The sequence below is a fragment of the Homo sapiens genome, chromosome 9 (genome assembly GCF_000001405.40).
Source record: "Homo sapiens chromosome 9, GRCh38.p14 Primary Assembly".
NCBI lineage: Eukaryota > Metazoa > Chordata > Mammalia > Primates > Hominidae > Homo > Homo sapiens.
The window spans coordinates 34,691,398-34,707,002 of NC_000009.12; the positions used below are offsets into that span (position 1 = coordinate 34,691,398).

General features: G+C 45.8%; 1 protein-coding gene across 2 annotated transcripts in view, besides 1 other annotated feature; it reads left to right on the forward strand.

Moving 5' to 3' along the window:
- Positions 1-15,605, forward strand: part of PHF24 (PHD finger protein 24) — a 316,938-nt gene that overhangs the window by 25,791 nt on the left and 275,542 nt on the right. Inside the window, exons 1-2 of one of the 2 annotated variants that reach the window (XM_047423103.1) lie at positions 10,119-10,158; positions 11,557-11,641. In XM_047423103.1, the coding sequence (XP_047279059.1) occupies positions 11,572-11,641 (70 nt within the window). In that variant the 5' untranslated portion in view covers positions 10,119-10,158; positions 11,557-11,571. Of the gene's footprint in view, positions 1-10,118; positions 10,159-11,556; positions 11,642-15,605 lie in introns of those variants that run through there. The other variant, XM_047423102.1, reaches the window with a different exon arrangement.
- Positions 10,013-10,332: a silencer, noted in NCBI's record as "silent region_19856". NCBI's record gives its function as "represses an Ori minimal core promoter by ATAC-STARR-seq in GM12878 lymphoblastoid cells {active_cell/tissue: GM12878}" and the evidence as "EXISTENCE:reporter gene assay evidence [ECO:0000049][PMID:35858748]".

The window sequence follows — 15,605 nt, forward strand, 5'->3', positions numbered from 1 at the left end:
TGCCCCCCTTCTTCCCCCTGCGGTTGCCCTTTCCTTCTGCTTTCCTTGGCTCCTGCTCTGAGAACTTAAGTCTGCAGTCTGGCCCAGTAAAGGGGGCTGTGCACTGTTTCTCCAGAGAGAGGGATTGCCCTGTCATCCCATTGATGGCATTTGCATCATCAACCATGAAGCTGGGGTTCAGAAGTGATGGTCAAAGGTGGGGCCCACAGTGAGGAACTGTGCTCCCTTCCTTAGGTTTATCCCTTGTCCTCACTGGTGCTTCTTTCTTGGGCTGGTGGTGAAGAAGGCTCCCTGGCACCCTCAGGACAACCATGAGATCCTGGGGTGGCCTCCAAGGTCATCACTGTGCCTGCCCACTATGTGGGAACCAGTCCTTCCCTTGGGGCAAGCAGAGCTGAAAGGCCAGGTACCTTGGGAGGAGGCCCAGGACCCCCATCCCACATCTCAGGCCTCTGGGGCTCAGCAAACCCTCCCCTTCCTCTATTTACTGTTTTCCTATGTCCAACACCTGGGTCAAAGGAACAGCTGGAGGGAGACTGGCTTGGAATAGCCCCCTTCATTTTCCCCCTTTTCTCAGTCCTGGGAACCAAGAGGGGATTTCTAAGGAGAGGGGCTGGCCAGCTCATATTCAGACAAATCTTAAAATTTCAAGGAATCGGCCGATGGGGGAGGGGACAAGTGACTTCCCATCCTTATGAGAAAGGTCAGAAGAGAAGGCCTTGAAAGAGAAACTAAATGTGAAACGCCCAGTCACCCGTCGTCACCCAAACCCTAGACCCTCTTTTGGATGGAGAGAGGGAGGGGGAACATTTCCCTCTTAAATTTCTGACTTAGCTTCTTTCCATTCATTAATCATAATAATAGTAATGGTATTTTTGATTGTTTACTATGTGCTAGGCTCTATGTCAAGGACTTTACCACTATTACCTTGCTTAACTTTCCCAAAACAATACCATTGATGTAGTTTTTCTTATTTTCACATTATTATTCTTATTTTACACATAAGGAACATGAGGCTCAGAGCACAAAGCCACACAGCTAGTAAGTACTGGAGCATGATTTGGACCCAGGTGTGCTCTAGGGTTTGCAGTCTTTACCTCCACTCCACACCGCCTGTCTGCCACTTGGTCATGGCACAGCACGGGTAGTCACGGTGCAGAGGAGGGAGACTCTGCAGACAGAGCGCCTAGCTTGGGATTCAGATTCCACCACTTACTAACTGCGACAAGGTGAAAATTCTCCAGTTTCTGTGTCTTAGTGTCCTTATTTGTAAAATGGGAATGGTAGAAGATCTACTTCTTAGGATTAAGTGAGGAACCCTGAGTAAAGCCCTTAGCTTAGAGGCTGACGCACAATAAGCTCTGTTAGCCATTGTTCTTCTTTTGTCCTTTTTTTTTTTTTTTTTTTGAGACAGAGTCTCACTCTGTCACCCAGGCTGGAGTACAATGGCACGATCTTGGCTCAGAGCAACCTCCACCTCCTGGGCTCAAGGGATTCTCCTGCCTCAGCCTCCTGAGTAGCTGGGATTACAGGCACCCACCATCATGCCCGGCTAAATTTGGTATTTTTAGTAGAGGTGAGGTTTCACCTTGTTGGCTAGGCTGGTTTCGAACTCCTGGTTTCGAACTCCTGACTTCAAATGATCTGCTTGCCTCCGCTTCCCAAAGTGTTGGGATTACAGGCGTGAGCCACCGTGCCTGGCCTTCTATCCTTTTATTCAGGTATCTGTTCATTAATTCATCCATCCACCCCTCTTTCCATTGATCTATCCATTCTTCTGTCCATGATGGTTCTGGTTATTCTGTTTGCCCCAGCCTATCCATTCTCCACTCTTCACGGCCCTGCTCTGCTCCCTGGAAGGCTGACCTCTGCAGATAGCATTACTTAGGGTCACCTGCTTTCTGGCTTCTGTTTGGGGCTGGCCCATGGGAAGCAGCAACTGATCAGTGGTGGAAGGAGAGAGGGGTATTAATTCCCCAAATCCTTCATCTTGCTGCAGTTCTGGCAGTGAATAATTTCCCCTGTGGCAGTTGTTCTCAAAGAGTAGCCTTTGGGCAGCAGCAGCAGCATCACTTGGGAGCTTGTTAGAAACACGAATTCTTAGATTTTACTTCCCACTTACCACATCTGAGACTCTGAGGATGGGGTCCAGCAAACTGCATTTTCACATACCCTCCAAGTGACTCTGATATGTGCTAAAGTTTGAGATCCAAACGAGCCTCAGGGATACCATCAAATATACCTCATCACAGGAGTCTCAGGAGGAGAATAGAGAGAACAGGGCATTAAAAAAATTGAAGAAATAATGACAAAACATCTGAAATCTGATGAAAAGTATGTATATACATATCCAAGAAGTTCATTACGCCTGGCCTGCTATGTTGTTATGTTTATCAGAGATCTTTGTTTCTTTGTGTGGCTGTAAGTTATTACTTTTTGTCCTTTTGTTTCATTCTGAAGGTCTCCCTTTAGCATTTCTTTGTTTGTTTTTTGTTTTTTCTTTCTCCCTTTAGCTTTTCTTATGGGCAGATGTACTATTAATGAACTTCCTAAGTTTTGTTTATCCAGAACAGGAGTTTGAGACAAGCCTGGCCAACATGGTGAAACCCCATCTCAACTCCTGACTACTCAGCTACTCAGGAGGCTGAGGCAGGAGAATCCCAAGGCTCACCTTGGCCTCCCAAAGTGGTCTACAGATTGAGGCCCACTGATCTACAGTGATCCTTTTGGGTTGCCTCCCTTCCACGGGTCTATCTCTATTCTTTTTTTTTTTTTTTTTTTTTTTTTTTTGATACAGAGTCTCAATATGTCACCCAGGCTCTAGTGCAGTGGCACAGTCTCAGCTAACTGCAGCCTCTGCCTCCTATGTTCAAGTAATTCTCTTGCCTCAGCCACCCGAGTAGCTGGGATTAGAGGCACGCACCACCACGCTTGGCTAATTTTTTTTTTTGAGATGGAGTTTCACCCTTGTCACCCAGGCTGGAGTGCAATGGCACAATCTCAGCTCACTGCAACCTCCGCCTCCTGGGTTCAAGCGATTCTGCTGCCTCAGCCTCCTGAGTAGCTGGGATTACAGGGACCCGCCACCACACCCAGCTAAGTTTTTTGTATTTTTAGTAGAGATGGGGTTTCATCATGTTGGCCAGGCTGGTCTTGAACTCCTGACCTCAGGTGATCCACCTGCTTTGGCCTCCCAAAGTGCAGGGATTACAGGCGTGAGCCACCATGCCCGGCCTAATTTTTGTACTTTTAATACAGATGAGATTTCACCATGTTGGCCAGTCTGGTCTCAAATTCCTGACCTCAGGTGATCCACCCGCCTCGGCCTCCCAAAGTGCTGGGATGACAGGCTTTGGAAACACTGTTCCCTCCTCTTGCCCCTTCAAGCCTTTGTATGATAATGGTTTCTCACCATTGCTAGACCCCAACTGCCTATCATCCCATGTTAGTTCCTTAATCCTGACCTAATCTCTTAAATTGTCCCTTTATTAAAATCTTTCCAGTTAAATTTTTTTTGAGTGTATGTGATATTGTGAAATATATATCTGGTCTTCATCTTCCTTTTCTGACATATAGCTCCTAAAATCCTTGGAATCTTGGGAGAGATTGTGTCTTTTGTATGCTAATGAGATAACTGGTGGCTGGGGGCCTCTAGACAGCCTCTGGATGGGAGCTAGTCAGCAGAAGAACCAGCCACATGGTTAGAGAGTTGGAACATTCTCTAACATTCTGTAGTGGTGGGGAGTCCCACCCACTCCCCACCTCTGGGTAGGGGAAGAGGGGTTGAAACTTGAGTTGATAAACCAATGGCTGATGATGTAATCAATTATACCTAGGTACTGATACTTCCATTAAAAACCCGAAAGGACTAAGTTGGGGTGGGGGCTTCTGGATAGCTGAAAACATGGAGGTTCTGGAGGAGGGTGCCCAGAGAGGGCATGAAAGCTCCACACCTTTTTTTCCCCATACCTCACTCTATGCATCCCTTTCATCTGGCTGTTTATCTGTTCTTTGTAATATCCTTTATAATAAATGGGTAAGCATAAGTAAGTGTTTCTCTGACTTCTGTGAGCCGCTGTAGCAAATTAATTGAACCCCAGGTGGGTTGTGGAAACCCTTATTTATAGCTGGTCAGTCAGAAGCATAGGCCACACTCTGTGCTTGCAATTGGTATCTGAAGTAGGGGGGCAGTCTTGTGGAACTGAACCCTCAACTTGTGGGATCTGATGCTACCTCCAGGTAAATGATGTCAGAATTGAACTGAATTAGGGGACACCCATCTGGTGTCCACTGAGGAACTGTCTGCCAGATAATTTCTTGGTGGGGAGAAATCCCCACACACTTATGGGTACCCAGAGGTCACAGAAGTATTGAGTGGTGAGAGGGAGTAGAGAGTAGGGAAACATGGTTTTCCCTGTATCCTTGGAGTGTGCTATCTGTTTCCTGCCAGGGTCCTCACTGATATAATTGGCAGTACCAGGACATAGATTCCCAAAATGGGATTCTAGGATTGGCTTGCCCTTGATGAGGGCATGGATGGTCTCTGTGGTTGGAAAAAGAAGACACAAGTAATCTGGAGCACGTAGAAGCATCACAGTCACTTAGACTATCACTCGTGAGGCATGGATGAAATGTTGGAAGTCAAGACATTAGGAGATAAAGTACCTGAGGCACTTACTTACTATGGTCACAAATGATGATTGCAAATGGTGATTACTATATTGTTACTATAGTACTATATTGAGGCCAGAACCTCACTGGCCATTTCTGATTGTGCTAGTAAAATTCCAATAAAAAAGATAAGGTTAGGCCAGGCACAGTGGCTCACGCCTGTAATCCCAACATTTTGGGAGGCTGTGGGGGGCAGATCACTTGAGGTCAGGAGTTTGAGACCAGCTTGACCAACATGGCGAAACCCTGTCTCTACTAAAAATACAAAAATTAGCCAGGCACGCTGGCGAGTGCCTGTAATCCCAGCTACTCAGGGGGCTGAGGCAGGAGAATCGCTTTAACCCGGGAGACAGAAGTTGCGGTGTGCAGAGATCATGCCATTGCACTCCAGGCTGGCGACAGAGCAAGACTCCATCTCAAAAAAAAAAAAAAAAAAAAAGTTTAGACCAGGAACTTCTAACTCAAATGGAAGTCTTAAGGAATGTTTATTGTATGTGGCCACATGACAGATATGGCTGAGGATCAGATCCAAGACCCGAGTGTCTTGGATTCATGTATGAGTGATGATGCCCTTATCCTGGAATAAAGGCACTGTTGGGAAGGCATAGGACTCTGAAACTTGGAATGGTGACATTTGAGCAGAGATGAACAAAGCTGAGAACTTTGGACCTTCAAATCCCCCTGAATCTTCCTTGGTGGCAGAGGATAATTCCCCCTTCCCCTGTAAACCATGAAGGATCCAACCTTCCCTTCCGTTAGATAATAACTCTCTGGCAAAAGGCATGCCTTTTTCCCTCAGGACCCACCCTGACCAGCCCTCAGAGTCTCCAGGCCCGTAGCAAGTTTAATCCTAACATTGTCTGGACAGGAAAGTACAGGATATGCTCCAAGAGCAAGAGCGTAGGTGCTGGGAAATTTGCAGGAACTTGTCAACTTGTCCTGGGAGAATCCCAGGAACCAGTGAGGACAAATTTATTGATATAGGTGTTCTCATGTAGGATTTGGGTATCATTGTGTTAATATTAGCTGAGCACCTGGGAGTTGTGTTAATATTCTGTTGGGTTGATTCCTGGAAGCCTGGATTTGACAGTGGCCTGTGATCAGTGAGGCTGAGGTGCTAGAACCTCGCTGGCCTGTTGTAGAACTCCTCAAACTTTAATGTGTGCATGATTCACCTAGGAGAATCTTATTAAACTGTAGATTCTATTCAGTAGGTCTGTAGTGAAGCCCAGGATGTTTCATGTTTCACATTCACAAATTTTTTTTTTTGAGGTGGAGTCTTGCTCTGTCACCCAGGCTGGAGTGCAATGGCACGATCTCTGCTCACTGCAACCTCCACCTCCTGGGTTCAAGCGATTCTCTTGCCTCAGCCTCCCAAGTAGCTGGGATTACAGGCACATACCATCATGCCCGGCTGACTTTTGTATTTTTAGTAGAGATGGGGTTTCATCATGTTGGCCAGGCTGGTCTTGAACTCCTGACCTCAGCCGATCCACCTGCCTCGGCCTCCCAAAGTACTGGGATTACAGGCCTGAGCCACCGCACCCAGCCTTCACGTTTCACAAACTTTTAAATGATGCTGATGCTGTGGTCCTTGGACTATACCTTGAATAGTAAAGTAGAGGAAGAGGTTCAAAGGTTAGAAATAAATGTTGAAATTACCTATTTTGTACACCTCCGAAGGGCCCAGAAAGATTCTTCTTCAAGGCACAAGAACACATTAGTGAGGGGAACACCAACTCTTTGAAAAGCACTGTGTGGCTTCTTTAATAGGCTAGACATGAGGTTGTGAGATGCTCTCTTGGGACTGGGCAGGCTTATTTCAAGGTGAATGATGGAATTCTTGCGTGGTAGAGGACAGATGTTACCACCTAACCATGAGTGATAAGGTGAGTGAAATTACTATGAAATCTGTAGGGATGAGTGGTAATCATGTGCTTTGCCCCATAGGAATATGTGGTGGTAGCTAATTAATCATGGTGTTCCTAGTAATGAAATAGATGGACAGCTTACTAATGTTCTACTCGACCCATACAAGTGGAAAAATTCTAGACCTTGTAAACAGAAACTTGATTTTCAGATTATATTAAGGATTTACAGTCTTACCCAGTTTTTGACTTAAGCCAGTTTCCCAGAACTGAATCCTCTTGATTGGGTGGGGGGCTGGGGGATCCTGGATCTCTTTCACAGGCGGATTCTATAAATCTTCCTCCTAGTCAGTGTTTTTCAAGATGTGGTGAAATTTCCAGGCTATGGAGATGGGGACAAGCTGAAAAATAGTCATCTAGGGCATAACGTTCCAGAGCATTTTGGGTTTTAGAGGCAATATATACTGTATTTATATGTACTACTGCAAAATGTACTGCAAAATGTACTACTGCAAAATGGCTGGATTATTGCATAAAGGCTCATAAAGATGACAGTTTGTTTTTGTTGTTCTTTTTTGGGACGGAGTTTCACTCTTGTTTGCCAAGGCTGGAGTGCAATCGCGCGATCTCGGCTCCCAGGTTCAAGTGGTTCTCCTGCCTCAGCCTCCTGAGTAGCTAGGACTGCGGGCATGCACCACCACACCTGGCTAATTTTGTCTTTTTAGTAGAGATGGGGTTTCTTCATGTTGGTTAGGCTGGTCTTGAACTCCTGACCTCCGGTGATCCACCTGCCTCGGCCTCCCAAAGTGCTGGGATTACAGGTGTGAGCCACCGTGCCCAGCCAAAGCTGATAGTTTTGAATGAGCTCCAGGCTCCGGGGAAAGTTGCCCTGCTGCTCTGGCTGAATGACCCACAAATCCAGTGAACTTCATGTCATCTGTGGCAGATAAGGGTGTGCTGTAGGAGCCCTAGTAGGAGAGTTAAAGCAAAGAATCTTAGTGTAGTGGAGTAAGGCCATGCTTCTTCTGCTAACAGTTCTTTTCTATTTGAAAAGCAGCTCTTGATAGGCCTTGGGGCCCTGGTCTAAAACTCAGATTATAGTTCATCCAGTGACAACGTGACCTAAGGGTGCTATCTAAGCAAATCATATAGTTGGATGTGCACAGCAGCATTCATTATGAAATGAATTGTATATATGAGACCAGACCTTAGAAGTTTCAGAAGGTATGAATAAAGCATGGCCAGATGGCTTGGACTCCTACTTGTGTTGTTTTCTGCTTCTTCTTCTGATCACACTTACAGCTTCATGGAGATGTTCTCTACAAACAGTTAACAGAGGATCTGTAAGGTATGCTGGCATTAGCTGGAAGAGACAGCTGATTACAGCCCCAACCAGGGATGGTCCTGAAATACAGTGGTTAAGGGAAGTCCTCTCAGTGGGCAGAATTTGGGGCAGTACATTTAGTGTACACTTTGCCTAGAAGAAGAGATGGTCTGAGGTTTGGAGCTATACTAATTCATGTGCAGTGGCTGCCTGCAACAACCCTGCTCTCACCTCTGTAAGTGGTCCCTTCACTAAATTATTTTCCATTAACCCTTTTTGAGCATGCCATTTGTTTCCTGCCAAGATCCTAAATGACACAATCGTATAGTGCAAAGCTGGCGGAGAGGTTTTAATTCAATTTCAATACCATCTGCCTGGAGTGCCTGTTGGGAAGGACCCTGAGAATCAGCAGGAAAGGGTGAAATAATGAAATAATAATAAAGAAGGCATCTGTTACACATTCATTCAATAAATATTTATTGAGGGCCTCCTATGTGCCAGACACCGTTCTTGGCACTGAGATACAGCAGTAAGCACAACAGATACGCGTTCCTGCTCTTGCAGAGTTGTTATGCTAATGAAAGAGACAAACAATAAGCAAACAAGAAAAATCTATACTATCTCAGATGGCAATAAGTGCTATGAAGAAAAATAAAGAAGGCAAGAGGGATAGGGAGTATTGAGGGAGGGGGTTATTTTAAATAAGGCAGTCAGGAAAACCTTTACTAATAACATTTGAGCAGAGAGCTGACCTGATGAAGGTGAGGGAGAAATCCATGCAGAGGTCTGTGGGAAGATGTTCTGGGTAGAGAAAACAGCAAGGGCAAAGAGTCAAGAGTGTATCTGAGGAATAGCAAGGAGGCCAAAAGGGGAGGGTGGTAGGAGATATACAGTCAGATAATAACAGGGGCCAGATAACACAGGGTTTTGTAGGCCACTGTTATATTCCGCGGAGTGAGATGGGGAGCTATTGGAAGGTATTGAACAAGTATGATGTGACATAAACTCGCTCTAGCTGTTGAATGGAGAGTAGATCAAACTGGTGCAAGAATGGAAGCAGGGAGACCAGGGTGGAGGCCGTTGCAACAATCCAGGGAGGAGATGATGGTGCATGGAGTTGGTGAGAAGTGCTCAGATTCTGGAAACAAAGTAGAGCCAATAGACTTTGCTGAGGGGTTCAGCATAGGATATGAGAGAAAGAAGAGGAGAGAATACTGCAAAATTTTTGACTTGAGAAACTTGGATATAATTTTAGTTAACAAGATGAGGATGATTGAAGAGGAGTGGGTTTGTGGGGAGATCAGGACCCTGGTATAGACTTAAGTTGAAGCTGCATGTTGGGCATATTAATGGAAATGTTAAGTAGGTAGCTGGGATGAGTCTGGAGTTCAGGGAAGAGATTCTAGCTGAAGACACACATTTGGGAGTAAATGGATGGTACTTAAAGGTATGAGACAATGAGGTCACCAAGAGAGTGAGTGTAGATAGAAGAGGTCCAAGTTCTAAGTCCTGGACCTCTCCAACATGAACAGATCAGGAAGAGAAACAGGAATCAGGGAAGGAGGTGGCAGTCAGGGTGTTCCGAAGGTACCCACTATCATGGCAAAAAGGGAAAGGACACAGGCCCGGTGTGTGAAGTGTTTAAGGCACCTACCCACAGCTGTTGGTTTAGATAATCCAATGGGGGTGGGGGACTGGAGGTCAGGGAGGTGTTTGAAACAGTTTCTGACCACAGGTACAGAGGCATCAGCGCTACGTGCTTCGCCTTGTTCACCCTCTTCCCAGCCAAGTCGTTTATACAGGGTTCTTGGTTCAGCCTGAGTCCTGGGAATCTTGTTCCAGCTCAGGGCGATCAACCCATTCAGCCCAGCCTAGCCTCATCCTTTTTTCAAGGAGCCTGCCCAACTTTCGTGCTCCAGGTCTGGCCAAATCCCCGCCCCAGGGGTAGGAGATCCTGAATGCGCGCGTACTAGCCATTGGGGCAGGGGAGTCAACCAAGTTCGTGGTGGGGGTCGGGGTGGGTGAATGACTGTAGGGAGAGGACCCGGACTAGATGGTTAGTGTATGTCGCATGCATGAATGTGCGTATCCCGAACTGTGTCTGTGGGGCTCTGGGCGACCGGGGCATGTGTGCGGATGTGTGTCCGCGCCCGTGAGCGTGCCCATGCATCTCCCTTCCTGGGCCTGCAGGGGGCGCCCCGAGCCTGGGAAGGGAGGCTCTGGAGTGGGGCGCGGCTGCGGCAGAGGGGTGGGCGCATGCGGCTGTGACCCTGCGAGCTCCTCAGAGAGGCTGCGGTGAGCGGGCGTCCGAAGTCCCTGGGCCTGGAACAGCCTCTGGCGCCCTCCCGGCTCCCTGGCCCCGCCGTCCCTGGGGTCCCCGCGCGCGGGCCGGGCGTATGGAGGGGAGGCTCGGGCTGTGGGTGGTGCCCGCGCATCCGATGACCTGGGCCGACAGTTACCCCGGGCCAGGACACCGCCGTCCGGCCAAACCCCTGCCACCCAGGCCCCCGAGCCTCGGGGGTCCTCTGCGGGGCCGGCCCAGCCCGGTGGCCGGGGGAAGGCCCGTGTTTGTCGGCGAATATGAAGCATTTATCTTTCCCTCCCACGCCCCAAATAGTCCCGATTTACCCAGAGCCCAAGGTGCCCAATGTTGAAGTCTTGAAATAATTACTGTTTGGCTTAAAGGCTGAAGGAGGGTTCACATCACCTCTGGCACTTCGCTCGCACCCGATAGATATCTTACACCACTCATTACGGGGCCAACGCTAAGAAAGGTTTCCTTATTCCAAGGAAATATATTAGGCGCGAGGCTGGGGCTGGAGGATGAAGGGCTATAGCCTGACATGGGCGGAAAAGGAACTTGTCTTGCCCATAAGTGGACACAGGGAAACGCGCAACCTTTGGCCTAGAATGAGACACATGTGAGAACAAATCGTGAAAATAATTGAAAACAAATTGGTCCTAGAAAGATGAAGGAAATGAGAATGGAAAATTCAACCCCCACTCCTGTTTTCCTGTAGCAGACAGAGGACTGCTGCCTCCTGGTGGCCGAGCGGGGCAGTGAGCGCCTCCCAGCAGGCGGAGGCTCACACAGCGCAGGGGATACTCCGAGCAGAAGCTGGCGCTGGCTGCTTAGGCCTTCACAAGTGGTGTTCAGTTATTCTCTTAATATTGGATTGAAATTTATTATTACCACAACCCATGATTCTAAAGCAAAAGTCTCAAAGAATATGGTAACAGACTTTCTCTGGGGTGTTTTAGTTTGCTGCCTACTGAGAAATGGTTGTCTTGAAGAAAACAGAGCTTTCAGCTTCTTGACATAGCAATAGACGTAGGTCACCAAGGTCACAAGGTCATACAATTCCCCTTAAAGTAGGCACTACTAGAAGAATTACAAATATAGGCCTGGCACAGTGGCTCTTGCCTGTAATCCCAGCACTTTGGGAGGATGAGGCTGGAGGACCCCTTGAGGCCAAGAGTTGGAGACTGCAGTGAGCTATTACTGCACCATTGCACTCCAGCCTGGGCAACAGAGTAAGACCCTGTCTCAAAAAAAGAATTACAAATATAGGCGTTAGAAAAAAAGAGAGTTGGCAATTTCAGCATCCATAAAAATGGTAATCCAGCCCAAGACTGATGGCAAAGGATAGAAACGTTGATGACTTTAACAAAACAGCATTATTTTGTCCCCAGATACAAGGAGAAGTAATGCCTGGATGTGAGAAAGAAAAAGAACTTCACAAAGGATACCAGCTGAAGCTTAAGACATATTTCACAGGTAAGCGATTATAGCTGGGAAACAAATTAATGTCACCTTTCATAGACAACAAGTGACAGACCCCACCCCTCTGACTCCCACTAGGTCATTTGGCATGGTAGAGGATACCTAGTGTGTCATTCTGGTAGCCCCATAATTTAAATTTTTTTTTTTTGAGACGGAGTCTTGCTCTGTTGCCCAGGCTGGAGCGCAATGGTGTGACCTCGGCTCACAGCAACCTCCTGGGTTCAAGCAATTCTCCTGCCTCAGCCTCCCGAATAGCTGGGATTACAAGCACCCACCACCATGCCTGGCTAATTTCTGTATTTTTAGTACAGATGGAGTTTCACCATGTTGGCCAGGCTGGTTTCGAACACCTGACCTCAGGTGATCCACCCGCCTCGGCCTCTCAAAGTGCTGGGATTACAGGCATGAGCCACTGCCCCCAGCCCATTATTTTTAATTTTTAAAAGAAAGGTATCAAAAGAAAGAACCCGACAGTTGTTGGTAATCACAGCCCTCTAAAAGGATATCATTAATAAGTAGGAATTGTGGCCAGCCAAAGTGTGGCCCAAGTATCCTGAAGGGAGGGGTTCTTAAGAAATCTGATTGCTTACTCTTTAAGAGTTTTTTTGTAGGCTACTTTGCCTATGGAGTAACCATTCTTTTATTCCTCTACTTTCTTAATAAACTTGCTTTCACTTAAAAAAAAGTTTCTTGTAATAAAATGTAGAGACAGGGCCTTGCCATGTTGTTCAGTCTGATCTCAAACTCTTGGGCTTAAGCCGTTCTCCTACCTCTGCCTCCCAAAGAGCTGAGATTACAGGTGTGTGCCACCGCACCTGGCCGACTGCTTACTTTGGAATTGGTTTCAGGTTTATAGGACTAACTGAGGCTTGTTTGTTTTTCACTGCAGCCTCGAACTCCTGAGTTCAAGAGATCCTCCCACCTCAGCCTCCCAAAGTGCTGGGATTATAGGCATGAGCCACGGTTCCTGGCCTGAGATCTATTAGCTCTAATTTTTTGTTTTTTAAAGGTGGGGTATTGCTCCACTATGATCAGCTATGGTGTGATCATAGCTCACTGCAGCCTCGAACTCCTAGGCAATCAAGTGATCCTCCCACCTCAGCCTCCAAGTCGCTAGGACAATAGGCCTGTGCCACCGTGCCTGGCTAATTCTTTCTTTTTTTTTTGTAGAGACAGGGGTCTTGCTTCGTTGCCCAGGCTGGTCTCAAACTCCTGGCTTCAAGCCATCTGCCCACCTCAGCCTCCCAAAGTGCTGGGATTATAGGCGTGAGCTGCCATGCCCAGCTAGCTCTAATTCTTTACTAGTCCCACCTATCCTCTATATCTGTATCAAAGAAGCCCTTAAAATATTGACAAGGAAGGAGTGAACCGGGAGAAGCAGGAGGAGATTCTGAGGCAACACTGACAAGTGGGAGTCAGCCCATGATTTCATTAGTGTGTGTGTGTGTGTGTGTATGTTATCATTTTGTGGAAGAGATAGTGGTGAAATTATTTAAAAACATGGTATGGCCAGGCACAGTGGCTCACACCTGTAATCCCAGCACTTTGGGAGGCCAAGGTGGGAGGATCCCTTGAGCTCAGGAGTTTTAAGACCAGCCTGGGCAACATAGTGAGACCTCGTCTCTACAAAAAATGAACAAAATTAGCTGGGTGTGGTGGTGTGTGCCTGTAGTCCTACCTACTCAGGAGGCTGAGGTGGGAGGATTGCTTGAGCCCAGGAGGTTGAGGTTGCAGTGAGCTGAGATTGCGCCACTCACTTCAGCCTGGGTGACAGAGCAAGACCCTATCTCAAAAAAGGAGCAAATAAAAACAACAAAAATACATGGTATTAGTAATTTTCTGGATGACACTGAGGAGGACTCATTGTTAGAACATAGTGATAACTCACTTTTAAAGCAATAAATTGCTTCTGTGGTTCTGTGATAAAGAAAAGTCAGGATTCCAGGGATTAAAATGAGTTTTCATGCTTAAGGAATGAAGATTTTGTAGATTTTAGAGATAATTCATCTTTAGGATTTTTTTTTTTTTACATCTCTAGTAGAAGTCATTGTTTCCCTGTTGGATACTGGCATATGAATATTCAGTAAATATGAATTTTTACTGTATTCACGAATAAGACATTAGAAATCCTTCATATTTATAATTTGATTTTATGCTTTGTATCTATTTTTATTGAAATATTTACGTGTCTCAGCAGTAGGCTTTTGGAAAGTTACCTTTATCTCCTCTCCCATTTGGGCTCTTGGGGGTTTATGCCTTTATTTTATTTTTAAAATTAATTTATTTACTTTGAGACAGGGTCTCTCACTTTTTAGCCCAGGCTATATGGCTCCCAGGCTCAAGTGATCCTCCCACCTCAGCCTCCTGAGTAGCTGGGACCATAGGCACATGCCACTACACCAGCTACTTTTTTTTATTTTTTGTACAGACGAGGTCTCATTGTGTTGCCCAGGTTGGTCTCAAACTCCTGAGCTGAAGTGAGCGTCTTGGCCTCCCAAAGTGTTGGGATTACAGGCGTAAGCCACTGCGCCTGGCCTTGCTTTATGCCTTTACACGCATACATGCACCAAAAAAATTTACTGTAGTTTTAGTCGGGGCTCAGTGAGAAGTGAAAATAAAGGCATGTAATTAATTTTCCATCCCTACCCTGAACTCCGATTTGTTTTTAAATTTAATGGTGTTGATCTTTAATGATTTACGTTTTATGGTTTTATGACTTGTTTAAGAAACTCTTTTTGGCCAAGCAGAGTGGCTCATGGCTGTAATCCCAGCACTTTGGGAGGCTGAGGCGGGTGGAGCGCTTGAGCCCAGGAGTTCAAGACCAGCTTGGGCAATATAGTGAGACCTGGTCTCCATTTTATTTTAAAAAAAAGTTATTTTATACCTCGAAGTTATAACCACATTCACCTATATTTTCTTCTACGTATATCTTAAACATTATGTTTTGAATCCATCTCATATGATGAAGAATTTGAAAGGCAATGTCAAGATAGAGGTATTTTAAAAAGGGAAGGGCATTAGAACCTTTAAGAAAAACAAAAAGATGAGTGACGAAGGAAAAGTGCACTACTTTTGTCTGCAGAGAACATTTATATAGTCAAAATAATGTAATATGTGATAATACATATTATGTAATAGTAATCCACAATAATATAAACTGTAATTATGATCTAAATATGGTAATATAATCATGATCTAAATATTATGGTATGACTATATTTAGAGGATGCAGTGACAGGAGAGGAGAGTTGGCAAGAGAGTTAGATCTTCACTTTTTATAGTAGGAAGTCATCTGGTAATGTTTAAAATAGGTAAATCAAGAAACAGAGGTATAGGCAAAGTACTTAGACATATGGCACTAAGAAATAGCATAGGAGTTAAAGTTGTAGGAAATTATGTTATTCAGAATAAACCTTTTGGTACTTTTGGATATATTTTTTAACTGTGAGTGTGTATTATGTGATATTTTTTGAATTATGCATCAAGAGAATAAGAGAGAAAAGAGAAAGAACAGGACAATGTTGTCAAAGATGAAGGCAGACAAGGAGAGTGGCCAGTCATGATCTGATGGAATAAATAATATATTGCATGCTTACTCAGAGCAGGGCTTGAGGCAAATACCAGGCATGCAGGTGTGGCAGGAGAATTTAGTGAAATAGAGAGTTTTGTTTTTTCTGCCTATGTTTTTCTTTTCACTATAGAGTAGGCAAGAGTTTTGGCAGGGCTGGGAGTGATGTCCTGATGTCAAAGGGAGCCTGACGTCAAAGGCCTTTTGTAAATGTCTTACACCAGGGGAAAATGCCGGGCATAGAGGCTCACACCTGTAATCCCAGCAACTTGGAGCCTGAGGCAGGAGGATCCCTTGAGCCCAGGAGTTTGAGGTTACAGTGAGCTATGATCCTACCTTTGCACTCCAGCCTGGACTACAAAGCAAGCCTTAAAAAAAAAAAAAAGTAAA